The sequence below is a fragment of the Homo sapiens genome, chromosome 21 (genome assembly GCF_000001405.40).
Source record: "Homo sapiens chromosome 21, GRCh38.p14 Primary Assembly".
In the NCBI taxonomy this organism is placed as follows: Eukaryota; Metazoa; Chordata; class Mammalia; order Primates; family Hominidae; genus Homo; species Homo sapiens.
In genome coordinates, this window is record NC_000021.9 from 33,087,435 (window position 1) to 33,111,150 (window position 23,716).

General features: G+C 45.1%; 2 annotated features.

The window, feature by feature from the left end:
- Positions 6,219-9,326: an enhancer, noted in NCBI's record as "VISTA enhancer hs1346". NCBI's record gives its function as "enhancer in: midbrain (mesencephalon)[7/8] | forebrain[8/8]" and the evidence as "EXISTENCE:transgenic organism evidence [ECO:0001131][PMID:17130149]".
- Positions 17,511-18,037: an enhancer, noted in NCBI's record as "OCT4-NANOG hESC enhancer chr21:34477251-34477777 (GRCh37/hg19 assembly coordinates)". NCBI's record gives its function as "activates a minimal SCP1, AML or CMV promoter by ChIP-STARR-seq in naive and primed H9 embryonic stem cells {active_cell/tissue: H9 hESC(naive and primed)}" and the evidence as "EXISTENCE:reporter gene assay evidence [ECO:0000049][PMID:30033119]".

Below are 23,716 nucleotides of genomic sequence, written 5' to 3' on the forward strand. Positions count from 1 at the left end.
TCAAAATCATAAGAATAATAATTTTATAAAAACAGGCACACATCTAGTTTCCACTCCTGAAGAACTTTGAGCTGGGATTGACGCTGGGTGGGTATGCAGTTTCTAAAACTCCACGGGCGAGAACAGCCAATTGTGCATGGCTGCCCAGGGATGGAACGACTTGACTCGAGAGGGTCCAGTGTCAATGGCTGTGCTGCCTGAGAGTCTCCAGTTTCTAGACTAGTTTCTAAACCAAAGGCAGCCTCAAGTGCCTGTGGGTTAAAGCAGCTGCAGGTGTATGTTGAACTAATTCAACTAAGTTGAACTCTATCAACTAAATGAATTAGTCATCAACATTTGCAAATTGGAAGATTTTACATGACAAATGCAGATTTTGAATTTCTCTAGAAAAATTAGAAGACATGGCCGCACCGGCCCAGCTTCCACATGGCCCAGTAAGTTAGAGCTGAGGGAGGATAACCGCCTCGGGCCTCAGTCTCCTCTATTCCCTTCTGCACTACCCCAGCCCACCTCAGCTGCTCTCCGACATTCTAGGTTTGTGATTCACACTTGAAATAAGCAAGCTGACCTGTGCCAAGAGCTCCAGTCCCTTTAAACTCTGCTTCTGTCTTCAAGTAGCTTACAAAATCGTGCCCAGATTAATGGATAAATAAATAGTATGAGTTACAAATGCCAAAATAATACAGACAGATACCAAAAGCCCAATCCTCGCTTTAATTTTGTCACTGATTTCTGAAGCAACGCTGTTTTGCTAAACTGTAAACATGGGCTGTCACTCTAACATTTAAATTCTTCTTTATTTTTTATTCTTTGTTGATTTAACAGGCGTCAGCATTGAAACAAATTCATAAAGTCAGTCTTGGATCTTATTTACTGAGGTTTCCATTTCAAAGAAACCTGGAATACTCAGATTTATCTTGGCTGGCAGAAGGTGATGGAGGCTTGCGGGGGTTGTTGGGAGAGTGGATATAAAAATCATGAGTCCTTTTTTTTTGAAAAGCAAAATATGGGGCTCCCTCAAGCCACTGCACAATGATCTCAACCCCATCAATAAGGGTGATCATCGAAGCTCCTTCCTGATTTGGGAGCCTGTATTCAGGGAATTACCCTGGGAATATTCACAACGGGCTCAGCCAGGAATAGCTGGAATACTTCCCAGGGGGCGGGAGAGCCATGATGCCAAGTCTCAGACTCTCTTTGACGATGCTATTTTTTCCTCTCAAATTACATCATTTCTAATCATTTCCCATAGGCTTTCTAGATTTAAAAAGAAGGAGAAAAAGGAGGGAATTTGGAGGCCGTGAGGACATTAGTATCCATTTTCTAATTTTTATTTTTCAACTATCACCCTTTTAACATGAGATCCCAATGCTGCCTTCCCGTCTGACCTGGAGACATACAGGGACCACAGACACAAGGCCTGAAAAATCAGTCGCTTCAGTTTGGAGGGGCAGCTCCGGTAGAAAAGATACCTCCGCTTCAAAACCCAATGGGCCTCAAACTTCTTAGCTCGCTTCCTAAAGTCAGCACAGTGCTCACAGTTGGCCTGTGGGCCTGCACAGTAATCCCATAAACACACGCATGTTTGTCCTAAAGACTGATCATCTCCTCAGGCCACCTGTGGCGGGAGCTTCCATAGCGGCTCTCTGCAGGTCCATAGCAGGGCCATAGTGAGAAGCGGCCTGCCAGGAGACTTTCTGATTCCATCTTGAGCTGTCACATGGGGTTCCAGCCGCACAACCCCTATAAGAGCATGCCAGGCTCCCTGTGGGCCCAGGGACAGTTTCCTTTAGGGAAGCAGGTATTATTTATATCATCAAAGCAGACTAGATTATGCAATGTCATTTCAAATTGGCATAAACAGATTCATGATAGCACAAGGTTATCTGTTGAAAATAATCTTCGAGTTTGGTAGAAGTGAAGGGTTTCAACCGTGTGTTTCAACCGTTGTTAGACTGTTTGGCTGAATGAAATATGTGACTAATGCCTATACCTAGCTGGCTTCTCCATCTTCCAGCGGGAGCTGGGGAACCTCTCAAAAAAGTAGACATATGACCTGTATTAGTCACGGTTCTCTAGAGGGACAGGACGAATAGGATAGATGTATATATGAAGGGGAGTTTATTAAAGGGAATTGACTCATGAGATCACAAGGTGAAGTCCCACAACAGGCCATCTGCAAGCTGGGGAACAAGGAAGCCAGTCCAAGTCCCAAAACCTCAAAAATAGGGAAGCTGACAGTGCAGGCTTCAGTCTGTGGCTGAAAGCCCAAGAGCCCCTGGCAAACCACTGGTGTAAGCCCAAGAGCCCAAAAGCTGAAGGACTTGGAGTCCAGTGTTTGAGGGCAGGAAGCATCCAGCATGGGAGAAAGATGAAGGCCGGAAGACTCAGCCACTCTAGTCCTTCTAACTTCTCCTGCCTGCTTTATGCTAGCCTCCCTGGCAGCTGATTAGATAGATGGTGCCCACCCAGATTAAGGGTGGGTCTGCCTCTCCCAGTCCATGGACTCAAATGATAATCTCCTTTGGCAACAGCCTCACAGACACACCCAGAACAATACTTTGCATCCTTCAATCCAGTCAAGTTGACATTCAGTATTAACCATCACACTACCCAATACATGTGTTGCATTCTGCTGAGTGCTTTTTTTTTTTTTTTTTTTTTAAAGACAGGGTCTCCATCTATTGCCCCAGTCTGGAGTGCAGTGATGTGATCTTGGCTTGGCTCACTGCAACCTCTGCCTCCCGGGTTCAAGTGATTCTCCTGCCTCAGCCTCCTGAGTAGCTGAGATTACAGGGGTGAGCCACCACACCTGGCTAATTTTTGTATTTTTAGTAGAGATGGGGTTTCACCATATTGGCCAGTCTGGTCTCGAACTCCTGATCTCAAGTGATCCGCCCACCTTAGCCTCCCAAAGTACTGGGATTACAGGCGTGAGCCACTGCACCCAGCCTGCTGAGTGCTTTTGATTAACATTTATCAGTCTGGTGAGCAAAATCCCTGTAGGATAGGATATCAAAAACACAGAAATTCCCATTCCCAACCGGTGGCTAGTCACCCAAGACCAACCCCCTCAACTTGCCCCCAAGCTTGCTCTATTTCCCCCTTCTTCCCTCAGGCACTGCATTTGCCAACACCGCACTTGCCACTCTCCTGCCTTCACAGCTGCTCACACTGCCACTCTTTCCGCCATCCAGTCAGCCTCCCTGTGCCCCCTTTGTCCCTCCAAAAGAGTCCTACAAACTCTTCAGACTTGGCTCCAATGCCGGCCCCATGCCTCTCTGACCACTTAGGCAGAGGCAACCTCCCTCTCCCTTGCATGTCCTCCAGGGCAGGGGTGAGATCTCACTTCACCTTGCACCCTCCAGGGACCCTGAAAATAGGGCAGACCCTGGATAAACATGGGGAGGAGAGAGGGAGATAGCAGGGGAAGGAAGATAAGGCAGGACAGAGGATGCAGTGAGAAAGACAGAGAGGAAGGCAGGTTATTAGAGTCAGGTAGCAGAATGCGATCTTAATCTAACTGCTTCAATTGTGTATTCAAATAGAAAACAAGACCATTCCAAAAAGTAAACTCCTTCCCAGATCTCTGAAGAATTTATATAATGGAATTGAAACTTTGAGAACACAATGCCAATAGCTCCTCTGGCTACCAATCTTATGCTGTGAAATAAATAAATGATGTGAGGGCTTTGCTTAGGGATACCCAGGGCTACAAAATGCAAAAGAAATGTGCATTTCAAACACAGGAAAGGCCAGTTCCACAGGCCACATGGGTGCCCGAGGAAGCTCTAGTCTTCTTATTTTATGAACATATAATTCATCTTTCTATTTCCTGGCATCTGCTCTTATTTCATTAAGATATTCACTCTTTGGCTTCTCTCTCCCAGGAATTAGGGGTGAAGGATAGGCCATGCCTGAACTAAAACAAACACTTTGTGGAGCTTGCCCCACTCAATCCATTTAAAATCAACTCCTACTATAGATGGTGTTTGCTGAGGATTGTGACTTTGTTTGTTTGTTTGTTTGTTTGTTTGAGATGGAGACTTGCTCTTGTCGCCCAGGCTGGAGTGCAGTGGCGCGATCTCAGCTCACTGCAACCTCCGCCTCTCAGGTTCAAGCGATTCTCCTGCTGCAGCCTCCCAAGTAGCTGGAATTACAGGCACCCACCACCATGCCTGGCTAATTTTTGTATTTTTAGTAGAGACGGGGTTTCGCCATATTAGCCAGGCTGGTCTCGAACTCCTGACCTCAGGTGATCCGCCTATCTCAGCCTCCCAAAGTACTGGGATTACAGGTGTGAGCCACCACGCCCAGCCAGAGGATTGTGACTTTTATAGAACTGGTGACTTACTTTTAATTAACACAGTGTTACAAGAAATGTATCTGAGGCTGAGATAGTTTTAGCATTTTTCTTCTATTTTTCAGCACAACTTTAAAACATTCCTCTTTTATACTTGGCAAAATGCTTTAGAAACCTTTTCTTAAAAATTATATGTCTGAGTGGCTGAGGTGGGCAGGATCAGGAGTTCAAGATGTGCCTGAACAACATGGTGAAACCCCATCTCTACAAAAAACACAAAAACTAACCAGGCATAGTGGCGTGTGCCTGTAGTCCCAGCTACTCGGGAGGGTGAGGTGGGAGGATCGCTTGAGCCATGGAGCTCAAGGTTGCAGTGAGCTGAGACTGTGCCACTACACTCCAGCCTGGATGATAGAGTGAGTCTCTGTCTCAAAAAAAAAAAAAAAAAAAAAAAAAAGAATTATACGTTTAATCCCATATTTAACTTCGCATAAACTAAAACTAAAATCAGCAATTCCCATTCAATAAGGTAGCAGAACCATCATCATGTATAGATAATTCAGATACATTCAATTGTAATAAATTCACACAGGCTTCAAGCTCGAAAGTATCCTGGAATTGAGAGCCCAGCAACACAGCAGTAATATGGGCAGTAACAAGTCCCAGCTCTGCATGAAGAAGTGAAGAGCCTGATGTAACTTACACAAGCTTTGATCTTGTGTGTGTATCTTGAACATGTGATAATTCACAGCAGTAATGTGATTTTGAGCCACTAAATGACAATGTGTGATTGCTTCTTTTTTTTCCTCCTATTGATTTATTTTGAGATGGAGTCTCGCTCTGTCACCCAGGCTGGAGTGCAGTGGCATGATCTCCACTCACTGCAACCTCCGCTTCCCAGGTTCAAGTGATCCTCCTGCCTCAGCCTCCGAAGTAGGTAGGATTACAGGCACGTGCCACCGTGCCTAATTTTTGTATTTTTAGTAGAGATGGGGTTTCACCATGTTGGCCAAGCTGGTCTCGAACTCTGTCCTCAAGTGATCCACCCACCTCAACCTTCCAAAGTGCTGGGATTATAGGCATGAGCCACCACGTCCAGCCCTTATTTTTTATTTTGATCGTCTTTCTGCCAGGTCCTGGGAGGCTTTTTGGGGTGCTGGTGTCTGTGTTGATTCCCCCACTCCTGTACACACCCGTCTGCTTGCGTGGGATCCACTGGGTAGCGTCACAGTTGACCAGACAGAACTTTCTAATCAGTTTTCCAAAGCCGTGATGAGGGTTTGGTGTTTTCTTCTGAGAATCTCACTTTCACAGTGTTTCCCCCACCAAATGCAGTGAAATTCAGCGTCTTTTTTTGGTTTTGTTTTTGTTTTTTTCTGAAGCTCTTAGAAAACAGCACTCAGGAAACGCACCAACTGGGCAACCTCTATCTTACCCACTAATCCTACCTTTGAGGATCTTTCCTGAGGAAATAATAAGGCATGTTACCTAGTTACACCCTTTATAATAGGAAAATATATATAAAATGAAAAAATATACAAAGGAAAAAATAATATAATGAGAAAAAATCACAGTACCTTTTATAATAGGAAATAGCTGGAAACAACCTAAATATCCAAAAATGTAAGATAGTATCAAATAATTAAGATAAAGTCATAGGATAAAATTCTATGCCACCCCCTGGGGTGAAATTTTATAAGAATATTAAATGTTAGAGGAAAATGATTCTAATATCAGTGAAAAAGTAAATTATAAAGCAGTGTGATTCCAAATACCTAACTACTTGTTGACAGTGGTTATCTCTGAGTGGTTGTGTAAGAATGCTTTATGTTTGCTTCTTTTGTTCTATATACATTTTCTAAAATTTCTTTAATGAAAACATTCTATCTTCAATGTAATGTTTAAAAAGAGAAGCTGGAAATGATAATGCCTGGACTCCCTTTGCTCACATTCAGAATCTCCTTTGCAAAGGCCAGACCCAGGCTCACGGCTGATGCCGCCAAAGGTGTTCAGTAGACCCTGGCATGGATACCGGGGCAGGTTCCTGGCTGGCGACGGGGTGCCCCTGGGTAAAGCTCCCCTCCAGAGGGTGCCCCCATGACCAGGGCTTTGCTGGAAGCAGCCTTCTGATGAGACGCTACCAGATTAGACAGACACTTCCTGATTAGACACTGTATTTTACCTGGAACCTAACTGATTGGACGGTCATACTTATTATCTTAGTTTCTTCTTTTAAAAAATGATAATAAGAATATTTAGTGACATAGAAAAATGTTTATTTACATGGTGAAGGAAGCAGATTAAGAAAATGTACACTCCTAATTATATATAATATATATAATGATAAATTAATGTGTTTCTTAGTTCTGACAAATGTATTGTAGTTAGGTAAGCTGTTAACAATAGGGAAAACTGGGTGAGGAGTATAGGGGAGCTCTCTGAACTATTTTTGCAACATTTCTGTAAACTTAAAATTATTCCAAAATAAAAGGTTTATTTTAAAATAAGGGAACTTATTCACTGTAGGGCACACATTTCTCAGGGCCTCAATTATTTAACATTTAATTTAATAAAACACTTTGGAAATCCAAAAAAATTACGTATGTATTTTTATCTGTATTACAAGTCTATTCACATGTAAGTTATAGAAGAAAGCTATTCTAGAAAATACACCAAAACAGGCCGGGCACGGTGGCTCACACTAGTAATCCCAGCACTTTGGGAAGCCGAGGCAGGCGGATCACCTGAGGTTGGGAGTTTGAGACCAGCCTGACCAATATGGAGAAACCCTGTCTCTACTAAAAATACAAAACTAGCCGGGCGTGGTGGCGCATTGCCTAATCCCAGCTACTTGGGAGGCTGAGGCAGGAGAATTGCTTGAACCAGGGAGGCGGAGGTTGCAGTGAGCCGAGATCGCACCATTGCACTCCAGCCTGGGCAACAAGAGCGAAACTCCGTCTAAAAAAAAAGAAAAGAAAAGAAAATACACCAAAATAATAACAACAGCTATATCTGTGGGATTTAGAATGATTTTTATTTTTTCTTTAGTTTTTCCAAACTTTTAAGATTTTCCTATAAGAAAACTCTTCTATAATTATTACCTATATAATTCTGTAGTATATACATTATATTATATAATATATAAAAATAAAATTACTTTTATGAGATTGCTTTTAAAATCAGAAAAAATTTAAAATAGCCACGTGGATTTTCCAAGAGTCCCACCAGCAGCTGTGAGGCTGAGAGTGTGTAAAGCCGGGCAAAGCTATTGGCAGGAGGAGGCAGCTATGCACGGGCTCTGGGTATCGTTCACACTGGAGGTACTATATGTGCTTAATATGGACTAGGCATGAGCAGCTAATAGTGCTTTTAGAACCACAAAGTCAAATTGATAATGATAGCATTCCTAATTTAGCACAATGAAAAGCCTGGTAACTATTGCCCGAGCTAATGAATGGGTAAGAGAAAGAAAAGCTTCTTTTCTTTTGTAAAGCTTAACATTAAAATTAGCTGCATCTGTTACCTTTGGTGCAAAAAGCAAAGACGGAAGAAACCCTGTTCCAGTTGGTATTTTGCCTCTGAGATCTTTATGCCTGAGCTCTTCAAGTCGCAGATAACAGTGAAGGCCCTAAGACTCACCATCCAAAACAGTTTTGGAAAAAAACCAAAGAAGAGAAAATAATTTCAAACCTTAAAGCAATGCATGGTGATTCTCTGGGGGGTCTAAGAATTTCTCCCAGAGAAATGATAAGGCAGACAAATGGAAGATCAATGAAGCAACATCGTGGCAATAATGCAATTGGTCCTGCCGTAGTCATGAACATGTAAATAACAAGACAGCAATAAGAAGACCCCAGACTCTGCCTAGAAACAAAATATTCAGCCTGTTGTTGTTGTTTCTTATTGCAGGATTTTGAGTGGAAAAGTAGTTCCACTTGTCAATCAGCTACGTTGCAGGGGCTAATAGATTCTGGTGTTTAGGGAGGTCAACACGGAATTTAATTTAACATCTCACAATACACCCACATGCCCAGAAAATGTGGACAGCTTGATAGGGTTCACTGAGCCAAAGAAGCAAGACCCAAACAGTGCATTAATGTATAGGGGAAGAATAGTTGCAATCAGCCCCTTGTGAATTGGACAGAGGGCTTGGAGATGAAGCAATTATCAGCCATCGGGGATTAATAGTAAAGTGTGAATACCAAGCTGTATATGTTAGGGGCAGAATATGTTGCCTATAGAAAACAACAAAGGACGTTTCTTACTATTAAGTGAGATTAAACGTAATGGCCTGATTTAATCACAAAGGCAGAATTAAATTCAGATGGCAACTTCAAAGTGGACACAGGAACACAGGCCACTGCTTACATTTACATATAGCTGGCATAGCTTGGCCTGCAACACAATAGGATAAAGTTTCTTTGGCCACTTAAACAATTTTCTATTCTTCACCTTTTTCTTTTTTTCTTTTTTTTTCTTTTGTGGGTGTGTGTGTGTGTGTGTGTGTGAACACTCACTGTATTTATTCCCCAATTGCATTTAGTTAGTAAGAAGGAGCTAAGTGTTATATTTATTCATGGAGGCTATAACTGTTAATTCTTCCAAATTGTGAAAAAAAAGCCTCATAGGGTCAATAAGAACAGAGTAGTTATAATCAGATTGTCACCAAAAAAGAAAAAGAAGAAAAGCAATTAAACAAAACAAACAAACAAAACTTTCTAGAGTGAACAGTGTCTTCTAACTTTCTCTCCCTTCAACTTAAGAATTCAGCTCTTGAGGTCTAAACTTCGCTCCCGGGAAAGGCAGCTTTCCCCCTCCTCGGGTGGAGATTTATGCCACCATCATGGAGCCCAGCCGAGCTGTTTTTCAATACAAGCCAGTTCCTCTTTCCTTCTTTGTTAATGAAGGCTTGTTTCCTTCTTTGCTCCCCACCGAAAAGGCAGTTCTCCTAAGAGGTTTGGGGGATAGAAGCCTGTTGCAGGGTTTAGAGGGGTTGAGGCACTTACTGAGAGTGGGTCCCCAGGGAATTTCCAGTACCCACAGGTTGAATGTAAAAATTAAGTATAGTAACTAAAAGACATGCTGGCCTCTGTCCAATGCCCAAGGACTGAATACATCTAAACTTTTCGGGTCCATAAAAGTCCCTTGCAAATTTTATGTATTTCTAGTTTATAATAGATAATGTATTATATATTATATACATTATATATTATATAAATGATTAATGAGCCCAGCCTTTGAACCTACAATCTTTCTTCAAATAATTTATTCTTCGTAGGCATAGCAAAAGAGCTTAAAGATCTTTGTATCAGGACATTCATCACAAAGTTTCTCCTTTTTTCCCCAAGACAGTCTCACTCTGCGGCCCAGCTGAAGTGCAAGGGCACAATCATAGCTCACTGCAGCCTGGAGCTCCTGGGATCAAGCGATCCTCCTGCCTAAGCCTCCTGAGCAACTGGGACTACAGATGCGCCCCACCACACCCAGATAATTCTTTTTTTTTTTTTTTTTTTTTTGAGATGGAGTCTTGCTCTGTCACCCAGGCTAGAGTGCAGTGGCTGCAGTCTCGGCTCACTGCAAGCTCCACCTCCTGGGTTCACGCCATTCTCCTGCCTCAGCCTCCCGAGTAGCTGGGACTACAGGCACCCACCACCATGCCCAGCTGATTTTTGTATTTTTAGTTGAGACAGGGTTTCACCGTGTTAGCCAGGATGGTCTCGATCTCCTGACCTCATGATCCGCTCGCCTCGGCCTCCCAAAGTGCTGGGATTACAGGCATGAGCCACCGCACCCAGCCACACCCAGATAATTCTTAAAAATTTTTGTAGAGACAATGTCTAGCTTTGTTTCCCAGGCTGGTCTCAAACTCTTGGGCTCAAGCAATCCTCCTGCCTTGGCCTCCCAAAGTGCTAGGATTACAGGCTTCAGCCACTGTACCTGGCCAGTTTCTTTTAATGTTAAAACCAAATAGGAATTAGCTAAAATGACTATCCTTATGGGATAAGCTTAACAAACTTTGCTATGAACTTATAATGAAATACTATGCAATCATTATAATGATCTGAATTTGAAATAATCTGAAATGATTTGAAATAATGATCTGGAGCTTTAGTTGATTAGAGAGACAGATACAGAAAGAAGCCTATAGCAATTTGTAGAATTCAATGTGTAAAAAGAGAAATGTTTGAGAAAATGTCAGCCAAATGTTAACAGTATTTTTCTCCAAATGGTGGGACTTGGTTGATTTTTATTTTTTCCTTGGTACTAACTGACTTTTTTTTTTTTTTTTTTTTTACAATTAACACAAATTGCTTTTACAATAAAATCTCTATTTTATTTTTTTAAAAAAATTTTTTGAGAGGCTTTGGTGAGCATTTGGGAAATGACTTTAAAGGGAGAAGAGGGGATTTTTCTGAGGCCAAAATGAAGGAAAAGGTATCATAAATCTTTGGTGTTTGGGCCTCTGCAAGACAGGCATCTCACCCCGTCCTGATGAGCCTGGGTCCCGGGACCACTTGCTTCTGCAACTTGCCTTTTCTCAAAGTCCTACTTTTGGGTTTAAAGCATTTCTCTTCCTTTTTTGTCATTGCCTTCTTGCGTTGACAGAGATTTTCTGAGTTTGATTTGCCCCTTGAAAAGAATAGATTGATCATCTGTAAAGACGTTGCAATCAGATGTCAAACCAATCCAATCGAGGAAAAAGGCTGGGAGAGGTGAGTTTGTGAGGGAGAGGTAGAGCATGGATCAACTCCTCTGTCACCAGACAAAGCTAATGTGCAATGGCCTGTGGCTTTCTTTTGAGCGATTCACTAATCAATGTAAATGCAGGCTCTAAGGTCGGACAAGCTGAAGTGTCTGGGGGCCTTGGTAACTTGCCCAACATCCAGTGTGACCAAGAAAAATACTCCCCAACGATAGCCTTCTAGGTTTGCACCGTATCATTATGACACTTAAAACGAGACTTTTTGATTTCAGTTGATTGCAAATTGCCCGTCTACGTTCTTAGAAGACTGAGGAGGATGTATGAGACGAAGATTTAAAAAACGCAGCTGGGTGCGATGGCTCACTCCTGTAATCCTAGCGGTTTGGGAGGCCGAGGCGTGTGGATTGCCTGACCTCAGGAATTCGAGACCAGCCTGGACAACATGGTGAAACCCCATCTCTACTAAAATGCAAAAAATTCTGGCCGGGCACAGTGGCTCACGCCTGTAATCCTAGCACTTTGGGAGGCCGAGGCAGGCGGATCACCTGAGATCAGGCGTTCGAGACCAGCATGTCCAACATGGTGAAAACCCGTCTCTACTAAAAACACAAAAATTAGCCAGGCATGGTGGCATGTGCCTGTAATCCCAACTACTTGGGAGGCTGAGACACAAGAATCGCTTGAACCCAGGAGGTGGAGATTGCAATGAGCTGAGATCGTGCCACTGTACCCCAGCCGGGGGACAGGGTGACACTCTGTCTCAAAAAAAAAAGGAAAAAATGCCCGTGAGTTCACTAAGGGTTGCCTGAAACAGCAGAAGGGCCCAGGTTTCTTATTTACCAGAAATGGAAGTGATGCTAACCAGAGTTCCACACGTGCCTTCAGTATGTGCTTCTTGGGGCACCCTTGGGCAGAGGGGTCCTCCTGGTGATGATGCAATGAGACCACACTCTCGGGGCACGAATGGCAACTGCACAAAGTTGAGGCATCTGCACTCACACGGGGACTTATTCTGCCCATTCCCTTAGCACCAAATTAGAAAGAAAAAGATTGCCCCCTGCAAAACAACTTGCTAGATTATTCCAAGGCAGGATAAGGCACAGAAAATATGCCATGTCTGCCTTTCATCACCTTAGGTAGGAGGAGAGCAAACTCCAGTTCCTTTCTTGGCCCTTTTTTTAGACGGAGTCTCGCTCTGTTGCCCACACTGATCACCGATCACTGCAACCTCCGCCTCCTAGGTTCAAGTGATTTTTCCCCTCTCAGCCTCCCTGAGTAGCTGGGATTACAGGTGCTCGCCACCACGCCCAGCTAATTTTTCTATTTTTAGTAGAGACGGGGTTTCACCATGTTGGCCAGGCTGGTCGAACTCCTGACCTCAGGTGATCCACCCGCCTCGGCCTCTGAACGTGCTGGGATTACAGGCGTGAGCCACCGCACCAGCCTCTTAGCCCTTTTTGAAGTTATTTCTTGAAGGTGGATGTGTACGTCAGGTCAGACTTCCTCTCTTAAACAACCTACCCTCGGCTTCTAGGAAGGCAGCAATTGCTTCATTTTCAAGCAAACAGAAGAGAAATACAGAACATTCCTAGGGTCTTTTACAATCACACAAAATATAAATGAGCATTTTAAAAACTTTTATTTCTAATTTTTGTGGGTACATAATAGGTGTATATATGGATTACATAAGATATTTTGATACAGGCCTGCAATGCATAATAATTACATCAGGGTAAATAGGGTATCCATTTATCCTTTGTGTTATAAACAATCCAATTATACTCTTTTATTTAAAAACATACAATTAAATTATTCTTTACTGTAGCCATCCTGATGTGATAGCAAATACTAGGTCTTATTTATTCTAATATTTGTACCCATTAACTATTCCCCCTTCCCTACTCTCCCAAATGAGCATATTTTTAAAACATTTACTGTTTCTTTCTGATTATAAAAGACATGCAGGTTCATATCAAATTCAAATACATACTGAAATAGAAAAAGAAACTCTATGTCATGTATAACCCACCTCCCAGGGATAATGACTGTGAACAGTGAGTAGTGCTTCCTTCCCGTTGTTTATTCTACACATATATAATCGAACACACAACTCGATTTTTCACGTAGCTGGAATTATATGGGCTGTATTATTCCATTTCCTTTCCCTTAGTTTTAATATTCCATCAGAGCATCAGGAAATGCAAGGCTCTGAGGAATTCTGAGAATAGTAATAATCATAGTAGGAGTAATGCAGTCAGTAGTAGCACTCTAGTTTGTATTTATTGTAGTCTGGATTCCACATAGGGCTTTTCTCCAGGGAGCTGAAGGTATTTTATATTTCCTTCCTAATAGACCTGGAACAAGGAAAACTATGCGACTAACTGTCAAAAGAGATGAGATGGGCCTGACACAGTGGCTGACGCCTATAATCCCAGCACTCTAGGAGGCTAAGGAGGGAGGATTGCTTGAGCCTAGGAGTTTGAGACCAGCCTGGGCAACATGGTGAAACCCTGTCTCTATAACAACAACAACAAAAATTAGCCTGGCATAGTGGCACACACCAGTAATCCCAGCTACTTGGGAGGCTGAGGTGGGAGGATCGCTTGAGCCCAAGAGGTTGAGGCTGCAGTGGCCCTGATCGCAGCCACTGCACTCCAGTCTGGGCAAAAGAGCAAGACACTGTCTCAAAAATATATATAGAGAGAAAAATAAATACATAAAGAGATGAGATGACTTCCTTGTGGAGTCGCACACCTAAGTCATAACCAGGAGCAGCCCCGAGTCTGTGTCCACAGAGGTGGGCAGGAGTCACCTTGGGACATGTGGCCTTCCTCTGCAACAGGCAGGTGGCACTGAATATGCACAGCTCCTCCTTGGAGGTGGGGGTGCTGCTCTCCAGAGCCTCCATGCACACGCTCCCCTGAGGCCTGAGTCACCCCGAGCTGGGCGTGAGGGGGCCAACCATGGTCCCAGCTTCCTCTATCCGCCCCTGCTGCGGCTGTGACTGCCGCCGCGTGGACCCGGGCTGCCCTGCCGGCCCATGGCTCCCGCTGCGCCCCGGCGGGCTGACAGTTGTAATGCTGTCATCCGTGTCCGCTCACAGAAAGAGCAGGAAGCCCAATTGCCCCACACAAAGGCCTGAAGTGCTCGTGTGAAAGGTCACTAAGTGCTGTCATCTGGGCCAGGGAGGGGGCCGAGAAGGCGGCGCCCACTGAGAACAACAGAACCAGGGGCAGGATCTTCACCTCGGCCTGTGGCCTGGGGTGTCCAGAGAGAGAGACAAAGACTCAAGTGGGAGCTGAAGGGACTTGGGAGCGAGGACGCCGGAGGGATGAGAGGCGCCTGGGCCGGTTCCTTAGGCAACCAGTGGCCCGTGGGCCTCCATAACTCTGCCCAGAGGCTGACAGCTCCCATTCATCCCCCAGGCCGGGCAGGTGGCAGGGCGGCCTGAAAGGAGCGGGGAAGCAGGAGGACAGGTCCCAGAAGAAGCCCCTGGGACGCTCCAGGCTCTGCGGGGAGGCCCCATCCTCCAGCCTCCTGCTAGGGGGATGGGAGGTCAGCAGGCTGTTTGTGGAACCCCAAGAAACACAGTTTAATGATAGCAAAAACTACTAAGCATACTATTTAGTGTCAAATTAGATGCCGTTTAATGTCACATTTGAGTTTATAAATGTGGCCACGACTACAAAGATTTAAGAAAACAGAGCTTGGAAGTAAAACTGAGCAAGAAAAAAGCCAGGGGGGTGGGGGCTGTTTCCTTGCCCTCAACAGTCTCAGTGAGCTGGGGGCAAAGACCACAGCCATCCATTTTTCATTAGGACACTTGAGTGTGGCCCAAAGGACGCCAGGGCTCTGGCAGGACATAATTTAGGAACTGCGGAAGACAGAGCCCCAGCGCAGTTCTCTGCTATCTTGAGGCATGCTGTGCAGTTTCAAATATGGGTCTGAAAATCAAATAGCGATCTTGAGGTCTTGGGCAATTTATTTAAACTCTCAGTGCCTTGGTTTCCCACCAGTAAAAAAAGGGTTCTTGGCTGGGCATGGTAGCTCAAGCCTGTAATCCCAGCACTTTGGGAGGCCGAGGCGGGCAGATCACGAGGTCAGGAGATCAAGACCATCCTGGCTAACACGGTGAAGTCCCGTCTCTACTAAAAATATGAAAAATTAGCTGGGTGTGGTGACATGCACCTGTAGTCCCAGCTACTCAGGAGGCTGAGGCAGGAGAATGCTGGAACCCGGGAGGCGGAGGTTGCAGTGAGCCGAGATCATGCCACTGCACTCTAGCCTGGGCGACAGAGTGAGACTCCACCTCAAAAAAAAAAAAAAGAAAAGAAAAGAAAAGAAAAAAGAAAAAAAAAAGCAGGGGGTTCTTTTGAAGATTAAGTGTTTTACTACCCATAAAAACTTAGAACAGCACCACATAAAACAGTCAATAAGTGCTAATTATCATCATTTTCATCATCTTCATCCTCATTATCATCACCCTGGCTGGTGAAATTATTGGTGAATTTAATTTAGTTCTTTACATTTTTTATTGCCTAAAGCATCTACAATGATCATGTATTATTATTACAATGAGAAAAGATGGAACTTTTTTAGAGAAAGAAAACAGCCCTGATGCTGCCTTCCACAACCCCGGGGGGAAGAGAGAGCAGAGAGATGAAGTCACAAAAGGGAAGGGCCACTCTCCAACCGAAATTCGCCTTCTTTGTAACTAGAAAAAGGTGGAGGTGAAGGTTGGGGTTTTTTCTCCCCCCATCTTAGCACACAGAGAAACATGACTTTTGCAGAGCATACAGACCTGGCTTCAGGCTGAGGACGGGGTGACTGACTGTCCCAGTTGGCTTGGATGTGGGACTTTGAGTGCAAGTCGATCACTGGAGTTGAGGGAGCAGGTTTTCAGGCACACCTGTGACCCCTCCGGGACACACCAGCTGGAGCTCTAAAATTTTTGCTTTTCGGCCCAAGATTTAAACCATACCCACAAAGCTAGGCAGGAAGCACTCTCAGTGCTCTAGGGACGAGTTTTAAGAGGACTGGAGTTGGAGGCCAGCCTGGTGGCTCACACCTATAATACCAACACTTTGGAAGGCTGAGGCAGGAGGATCACTTGAGGTCAGGAGTTTGAGACCAGCCTGGACAAGATGATGAGACCTTCTCTATACAAAAAAAAACATCAAAATTAGGAGGGCATGATGGTGTGCACCTCTAGTCCCAGGTACTTGGGAGGCTGAGGTGGGAAGATCTCTTGAGCCCAGGAGGTTGAGGCTGCAGTGAGCTGTGATTGTGCCACTGCACACCAGTTTGGGAGACAGAGCAAGATCCCCTTCTCAAAAAAAAAAAAAAAAGAGAGAGAGAGAGAGAGAACTGGAGTTGGAAAGAAAAAGGAAATGAAGTCAAGTCTATTCCTGGTCCTTTCTATAGAAGATCAACCTTGCTCTTAAGACAAAGCAACATCCTTGGAAACCCTGGCAATGTACTATTCTCTGTGTTGTGGTTTCTAAAAGGACGCTGTCACCAAAGGCACACATAATGGAGTCCCCGGGAAGCTGCACTGAGCACCCAGAGCCGGGTGGTCCAAAGAAATGCCTTTTCAGCACCTCTGAAATGAATGACGCCCCATGAAGGAGAATGGCAATGAAGAGGTAGGAGCAGCTTGGGAATTTAGAGCAGAAATCGCAAACAAATTTTACAGAGAAGCAATGTGGGAGCAGTTTTGACTGATCCCTCCAGGAAATCTCCAGGAGCGGGCAGTAGCTATTTTGTTCCAGTTGCAACTGAATTTGCCCAAGGTCACATAGCTAGGAAACCGGGAGCCAGGAGACAGCAGGGACTTCAGGCCACAGGCCACAGCCTCTCTCAAAGGAAGCATGGCTTAGGGTTGAAGAACCACCCCAAAAGCAGGGAAGTGGGGAGCAGGAAGGGTGCTGCCCCACAAGCTATAGGAGAGGGTGCCATGGAAAGGGCTGTGTATCCGTTTCCTTTGACTGCCATAACAAAGTACCATAAATTTGGTAGCTTACACAACACAAATGTATTCTCTCACAGTTCTAGAAGCGCAAATTGCAGAAGGCAGGGCCTCTTTCCCTCCGAAGGCTCTAGGGGAGGATGCTTCCTTTTCTCTTCCAGCTTCTGGAAGTGGATCCTGGCATTCCTTGGCTTGTGGCCACATCACTCCAATCTCTGCCTCCACCTTCACAGGGCTTTCTTCTCTTCTCCCTGTGTCTCTCTTCTGTGTATATCTTATGAAGACAATTATCACTGGACTTAGAGCCCAACTGGATGATCCGGGAGGATCTCATCTTGAGATGTTTAACTTGCTTATCTCTGCATTATTTTTTCCAAATGAGGGCGCATTCACAGGTTCCAGAGGTTGAGACAGGGACATGTCTTTCTGGAAGCCACCATTTCACCCATTATAGCCTGGGGACAAGGAGTGTTCGAAAACCAGGCACCAAGTTGTCTGGGTTTATTCCCAAGAAGGTACACTCTGCTGAGCATGAATCTGATCGGGATTCTGATTTACAATTATCTGCCCACCCCTCAACTCTGCCAGCAACCCTAAAATGGTTCACTGCTTAGCGAGCACTCTCACTCTGTGCGGTACCTTTCATGACCTTCTCTGCTCTCTGTAAACCACTGCCCCTTACCTCCCTGTCACTCTCAGCAAATGACCTTTCTGCTGCTTAGTAGAGAAAATAGAAGGCTTCAGAGAAAAACAGCCTCAACGGCCTCATTTTCCCATCCCCAGCCCCCAGTACTTTCCTGCCTCTGCCCTAGCCTCTCCTGGGTCCCTCCATTTCCATAAGAATGGAATTTTCTCCTCCAGCCCAGGTCAAATGATGCCACCTGGTTGAGTCCTCAGCCCTCCCATTTCCTGAGTCACCTGCAAATCATCCTAGCTGTCTTCTCTGGCTTCAACATCTCCTGCTTTTGTGGAACCCTCCCCCATCATTGAAACACAGGCATTTTCTTCCACCTTAAAATCGGAAAAAAAAATAAAAAAATAAAAAAGCAAATGCTCTCCCTTCACCTCACTTCCACTTCCAGCAAGCAGCTTCCATCCTTCCCAGGCGAGCTTCTCCTTGTATTATCTGCACTTCCTGCCTCCATTTCCTCCCTGTCCACACAGTCCCCTCCACCTAAGTGGCCCACGTGCTTCCAAGCCGCAAAATCCAAGGGTCTTTCCAGCCTTCATCTTCCCCAGCAGAACTGGCCATTAATAACCCGCCCTGCCTAACTGTAATATTGTATGGTCTTGAATTCTGTGACTCCACGTTCTCCTGGTTTTCTTCCTACTTCTTTGGCTACATCTTCTCAGGCTTTTGTTCATAAGTTGATTCTCCACAGGGCATGTAAATATTAGAGCTCAGGATCCCTCCTTTTTCACTCTAGTTCTTTCTGGGCAGTCTCCCTGCTGGGGCTCAAACTGCAGTGTATGTGACCACCACTTGCAAATGCTAATCTCCACCTTCAGAGATCAGGTATTCAACAACCTAGCCCACACCTGCTGGATGTTTTAAAGGCAGCTTATACTCAAAATATCCAAAACAAAGTTCAAGATCATTTATCCCACAAACCTGGGCCCTTTCCATCTTCCCCTGTTTCTGTGGACCAAACTACCACCCATCTAGCCAGCCAGGAAAGTCATCGCCACAATCTCCCTCTCACTCCCATTGGATCAGATTCAAAATGATGTTGCCATTGCAGGAAAGCCTCATTCTGTTTTTCTTTGTTTTGAAGAGTAGAAATGATGCTATGGGTATCTTGAGGCTTAAGAAATCCAGTAGAGAATGGAGTCTGAATTTTTAATAAAATGTTTCCCATTTCTGTGATTAGGATTCTTTTAGGGCCATTATCCAACGATCTATCTTGATTTACCTGGTGGCTGGAAACTCCAGGATTTATGATATTTCTTGGATCTTGATTTCACAAGAAAAGATAATTCATGGAAAACCCTTAAATCACTGTCAGACTCAGAATGCCTGCCATCCTTTCACGGTATAACCAACTGACTTACAACCGCTGTAAATAAAACCACATAATGGTTACAAAATTTTAAAAAGGAGTTTTGGGGGGTGAGAAAATGACAAAGAGATACATGAAATTGAATTCCTAAGGAAGAATACAATTTCAAAATTGTGATTTAAATAGATCTGAAAATGTTGGCGTTATTGTCATAGGTTTTTAAAAAAATCTATCTGAAAAGGTGTCACCAGAGAGAAGAGCAAGAAAAAGATATGATCAGGCCTGATTATAGATAGATACAGAATAATGTATATGTTGGCTTAATTCTAAATGGGATAATAAAATAAAATTTACACTTCTAATTTTGTGTCTCATGCATTACACATAGTAAAGAAATATTGGTCTACTTTTTCCAAATAATGGTAATAGTCCAATTCTGTGCTAGGTTGTTCTTTATTGGGTCTATTGATCTCAAGTGGCTCTGGCCTAAAGACTGTGATCACTCTCTGTTCTATCTGGATGCAAGTGCTGAGTTCCTTAGTCTGTTGATCAAAGAATTTCAAGGAGGCCGGGCGTGGTGGCTCAGGCCTGTAATCCCAGCACTTTGGGAGGCCGAGGCGGGCGGATCACGAGGTCAGGAGATCGAGACCATCCTGGCTAACACGGTAAAACCTCGTCTGTACTAAAAATACAAAAAATTAGCCGGGCGTGGTGGCAGGCGCCTATAGTCCCAGCTACTGGAGAGGCTGAGGCAGGAGAATGGCTTGAACCCGGGAGGCGGAGGTTGCAGTGAGCTGAGATCGCGCCACTGCACTCCAGCCTGGGCGACAGAGCGAGACTCCGTCTCAAAAAAAAAAAAAAAAAAAAGAATTTCAAAGAAAATAAGATTTGGGTGTTATGCCAAGGTTTTGTGTTTTGTTTTGTTTTGTTTTGTTTTACAAGCATTGGTGTCTCTCTTGGAATTTTTTCAGGATTATTTTCTCTCTACAACACAGAAATAGCCAACATGCAAGTATCAACCCCAAATGGCAATCTAGAGTTCCATCACCTCAAGATTCTTTCTTTTTAAAAGGGAAGTGGTATGGAGTAGGAAGTTTGGGATAATTGTTTTCAAATTTCATTTTCACCCCTTACTAGCCATGTGTTGGGCAAGTTACTGAATCTCTCTGAATTTTCAGTTTTGTGTCTGTAAAATGGTAATAATCAACCTATATTATAGGTATATTGTTAGGATTACAGGGCATCATATACAAAAAGTACTCGACATAGTGTCAATATTCAAGAAACCTTAGTTTCCTTTTATTTTACTTTGATTATAGTATTTGAACTTTAATGATTACCCTTTTTGTAAACTTTTTTTTCTCTTTTTTTTTAATGAGATGGGTTTCATTCTGTTGCCTAGGCTGGTCTTGAACTCCTGGGCTCAAGAGATCTTCCCACCTCAGCCTCCTGAGGGATTGCAGGCATACACCACTGCACCCAGCTTTCTGGGTACAGTGTACTTAAACATTTTAAGTATGTTATTGACACTTTGCTAGGAAATGCCCATCATGAAAGAATCGTGAAAACTTCTATCATGTGTATGAAACTTTTGCATGTTCACGGCATTTCACAACAGTAACACTCCTCTTCCTTGAAGTCCCATGGGTTTTCTGTAATCCCTGCTGGCTTTATAGTTGAGTTCACCGAGGCACAAAATAACCCATAAAGTACCATTAACAACAGAACAGCCACCATGCAGCAAAGCAATCCAGTGAGCCAAATTCCTTTGCCAGAATATCTATGCACCAGCCCTAAGCCTGAGCCAACAAAATCCAGGTGAATGCAACACTAGATCCCAAAAATGGTTTTTGGTTTTGGCAATAAGAGTGGCGCGTCTTCATAGTTTGACCAATATTTATTTTGGTCCTACTATGGCCCAAGAGCTGTAGCAATGAGTAAAGAAGGCATGTTTCACTGGATTTCTATGCAATCATGGCTGTGTAGGAGTAGGACTAGAATGATGAGCACATAACAGGAAGATTTGACGTGGTCTGGGAGGTCTGGAGCTGCTGCCATGGGGGGGAACCATTGTCTAACATAAATGCTAAACAATGAGCATGTTATCAGTTAGATGAAGCGTGTATGCATCCCATGGTGTGGCTAGAACCCCATGGAGTTCTAGAAGAAGCTGGTGAGGGAGTCCAGGCCACAGGGTGCAGGACCTAGTTAAGGATGTGCCTCTATCCCAATACCTAGGGGCCCACAATGAGTTGATGCATCCGACTACACTGGTCATGGGAACAGCAACTTGCTCCCCTCCCCCATAAAGAACATTCTAGCTAGCACAAGGTTATTTTAGTAAATGGCTGCCCTGCTTAGATGAGCCACTAGTCAAAAAATTCCATTTTATTAATCTGTAAGTGTAAGCCTAAAGTTAAACCTGCTTCTCAGATGTTTAATGTCGAGTGACACCCTAAATGTCATGCCAGGCTGGCTGTGGAGAGCTGGTTCATTAGGATACCAGGAGGGCTTCTAAAACTCGGATGCCCAGACCTCAACCTAGATCAATTAAATCACACTCCTGGGGGAGTGGGACCCGGCATCAATATATTTCTTTTCTTTTCTTTTCTTTTCTTTTTGAGACGGAGTTTCGCTCTTGCTTCCCGGGCTGGAGGCAGTGGCACAACCTCGGCTCACTGCAAACTCCGCCTCCCGGGTTCAAGTGATTCTCCTGCCTCAGCCTCCCGAGTAGCTGGGATTACAGGCATGTGCCACCACGCCCTGCTAATTTTGCATTTTTAGTAGAGACGGGTTTTCTCCATGTTGGTCAGGCTGGTCTCGAACTCCTGACCTCACGTGATCCACCTGCCTCACCCTCCCAAAGTGCTGGGATTACAGGCGTGAGCCACCGCGCCCAGCCAGGATCACTATATTTCTTAAACTCCTTAGGTAATTCCAGTGTGCAGCCAAGTTTGGGAAGCTGTGAACCAAGAGTCTCTTCACCTCGCGTCTCTCCTTCCCCCAGGCAGGAGGAAGGAATGAGTAGCAGTGACCATCCATGAAACGGATTCGGGACTTTCTTTTAGCTTAAGATGAGAGTAGATAGTGGAAGAGGAGCCTGTCCAAATACCATCTGCAGACGAAGGAGCGTCTACAAAACACACGAGGGACCTAGAAACCAACAGACCCATCCCATCTCTCTCAGGTTCAGCAATTCTTTCCTTCCTCGGAGGGCGTTTCTGATAGGACAAGCTGGGCCCGGGCGGATTCTCACCCCACCACCCCAACTCCAGGCTTGGGTCCATCTGCCGCCAGTGGTGACTTGGGTGGCGCCCTCCGCAGCAGACAGCCGTGCGCCCTCGGCGACCCGGTCCCTGCGCTCCGGCGCCCGCAGGTCCTCGCTCCCGGCTTCTGCACCTCCCGCTCCGGGACATCTGGCTGAGCCGCGCCTCCCTCTCCCCGCAGCCTCCGCCGGCCCCGCCTCCCCTCACCACCCTTCCCTTGTTTGGGGCGGTAAGGTCAGAAGCGTTCAACAATTCAACGTGGGAAGTCTCTCGGAGGAAGTGCCAGGTCATAAATTTCACCCAACAAGAGGCTCCCATCAAGCTTGGGCTTGTTAGGAAACCTCCCAGTCGCTAATCGAGGGTTAGGCAGCTCCAGGGCGGGTGGGCTACGGGGCAGCCAGGGAGCAAGGATGAGGGCCTGGGGCTGCGGGTGCAGAGGGTTGTTGGGGTCCAGGTGTTCAGTGCCTTGCGCGCGTGGCTGTCGCTCTGCCCCTCTGGTATTGCCCGGCTGTATCACAACCCTTAGATGTGTCCAAACGGTCCTTGTGTGTATAAGACACACACCCACGCACATTTGGGAGAAGGGGGTAGTCAGTGTCTCTTTACATTGCAGCGGTACGTTAAACCCCGTCTGGGTTATTTTAAGCCTGAAGTTCATGAAAGGAAACATTTGAGTAAGTTAAGGCTGTGTTGAATGCCGCGTTCCTTATGACCTTGCCATCTGAATGTGATGGTGGTTCCCAGAAGAAACAAACAGGCAAGAGGTTAAAGACAGAGTTCTAGACCCAGCCCTTGCTGTGTGACCCTGAGTGAGTCACTGTATGTCTCTGAGCCCCATTTCCCGCCGCGGAGTGAGGGAATTGGAGGGTCGGTGGGCGTGAGGCAGCTCTAAGTCCCCCTGGGCTCTAACGGCCTCTGGTCTTTGCCCCTCCTCCCTCTCCCTGCAGTACTAACAAGGTGAAAGAAGGGTCTTATCGAATTCAGCCTTTGTCCTGCTGCCATTTGTCATGGGAAATCTTTCCAGGGACTGGCACTCTGACTTGGTTGGAAAGCCAAGGGTATTGAGCCCACATCAATAGAAGGAAGGTTTGCAAGCCAAGTCTACACCTGCCCTCTGCCGTGCCCAACAGAGGGGAGACAGTCTGGGGATTATTTACCCCTGGAACTTTTGCTGCAATAAATAAAGCAATGCTGGAGGCTTGAAGGAGTTTAAAGACTAACAGGGGAGATAATAATTGTTACTATGCACCAGGCAGGGTTCTAAGTCCTTTGCATAAATTAACCCACTTAAGCCTCCCAACAGCTCCCTGAGGTTGGATACTATTAGCCCATTTTTACAGGTGGGTAAACTGAGGTACGGGGGGTTAAATAATTTGCCTAAGATCATACTACAGGGAAGCAGTAGAGAGGAGACTCGAACCCCTGAAAACACAAAGAGCAGCCCTGGGCCCTCGGCAAAGACGACGCTTCCTATCC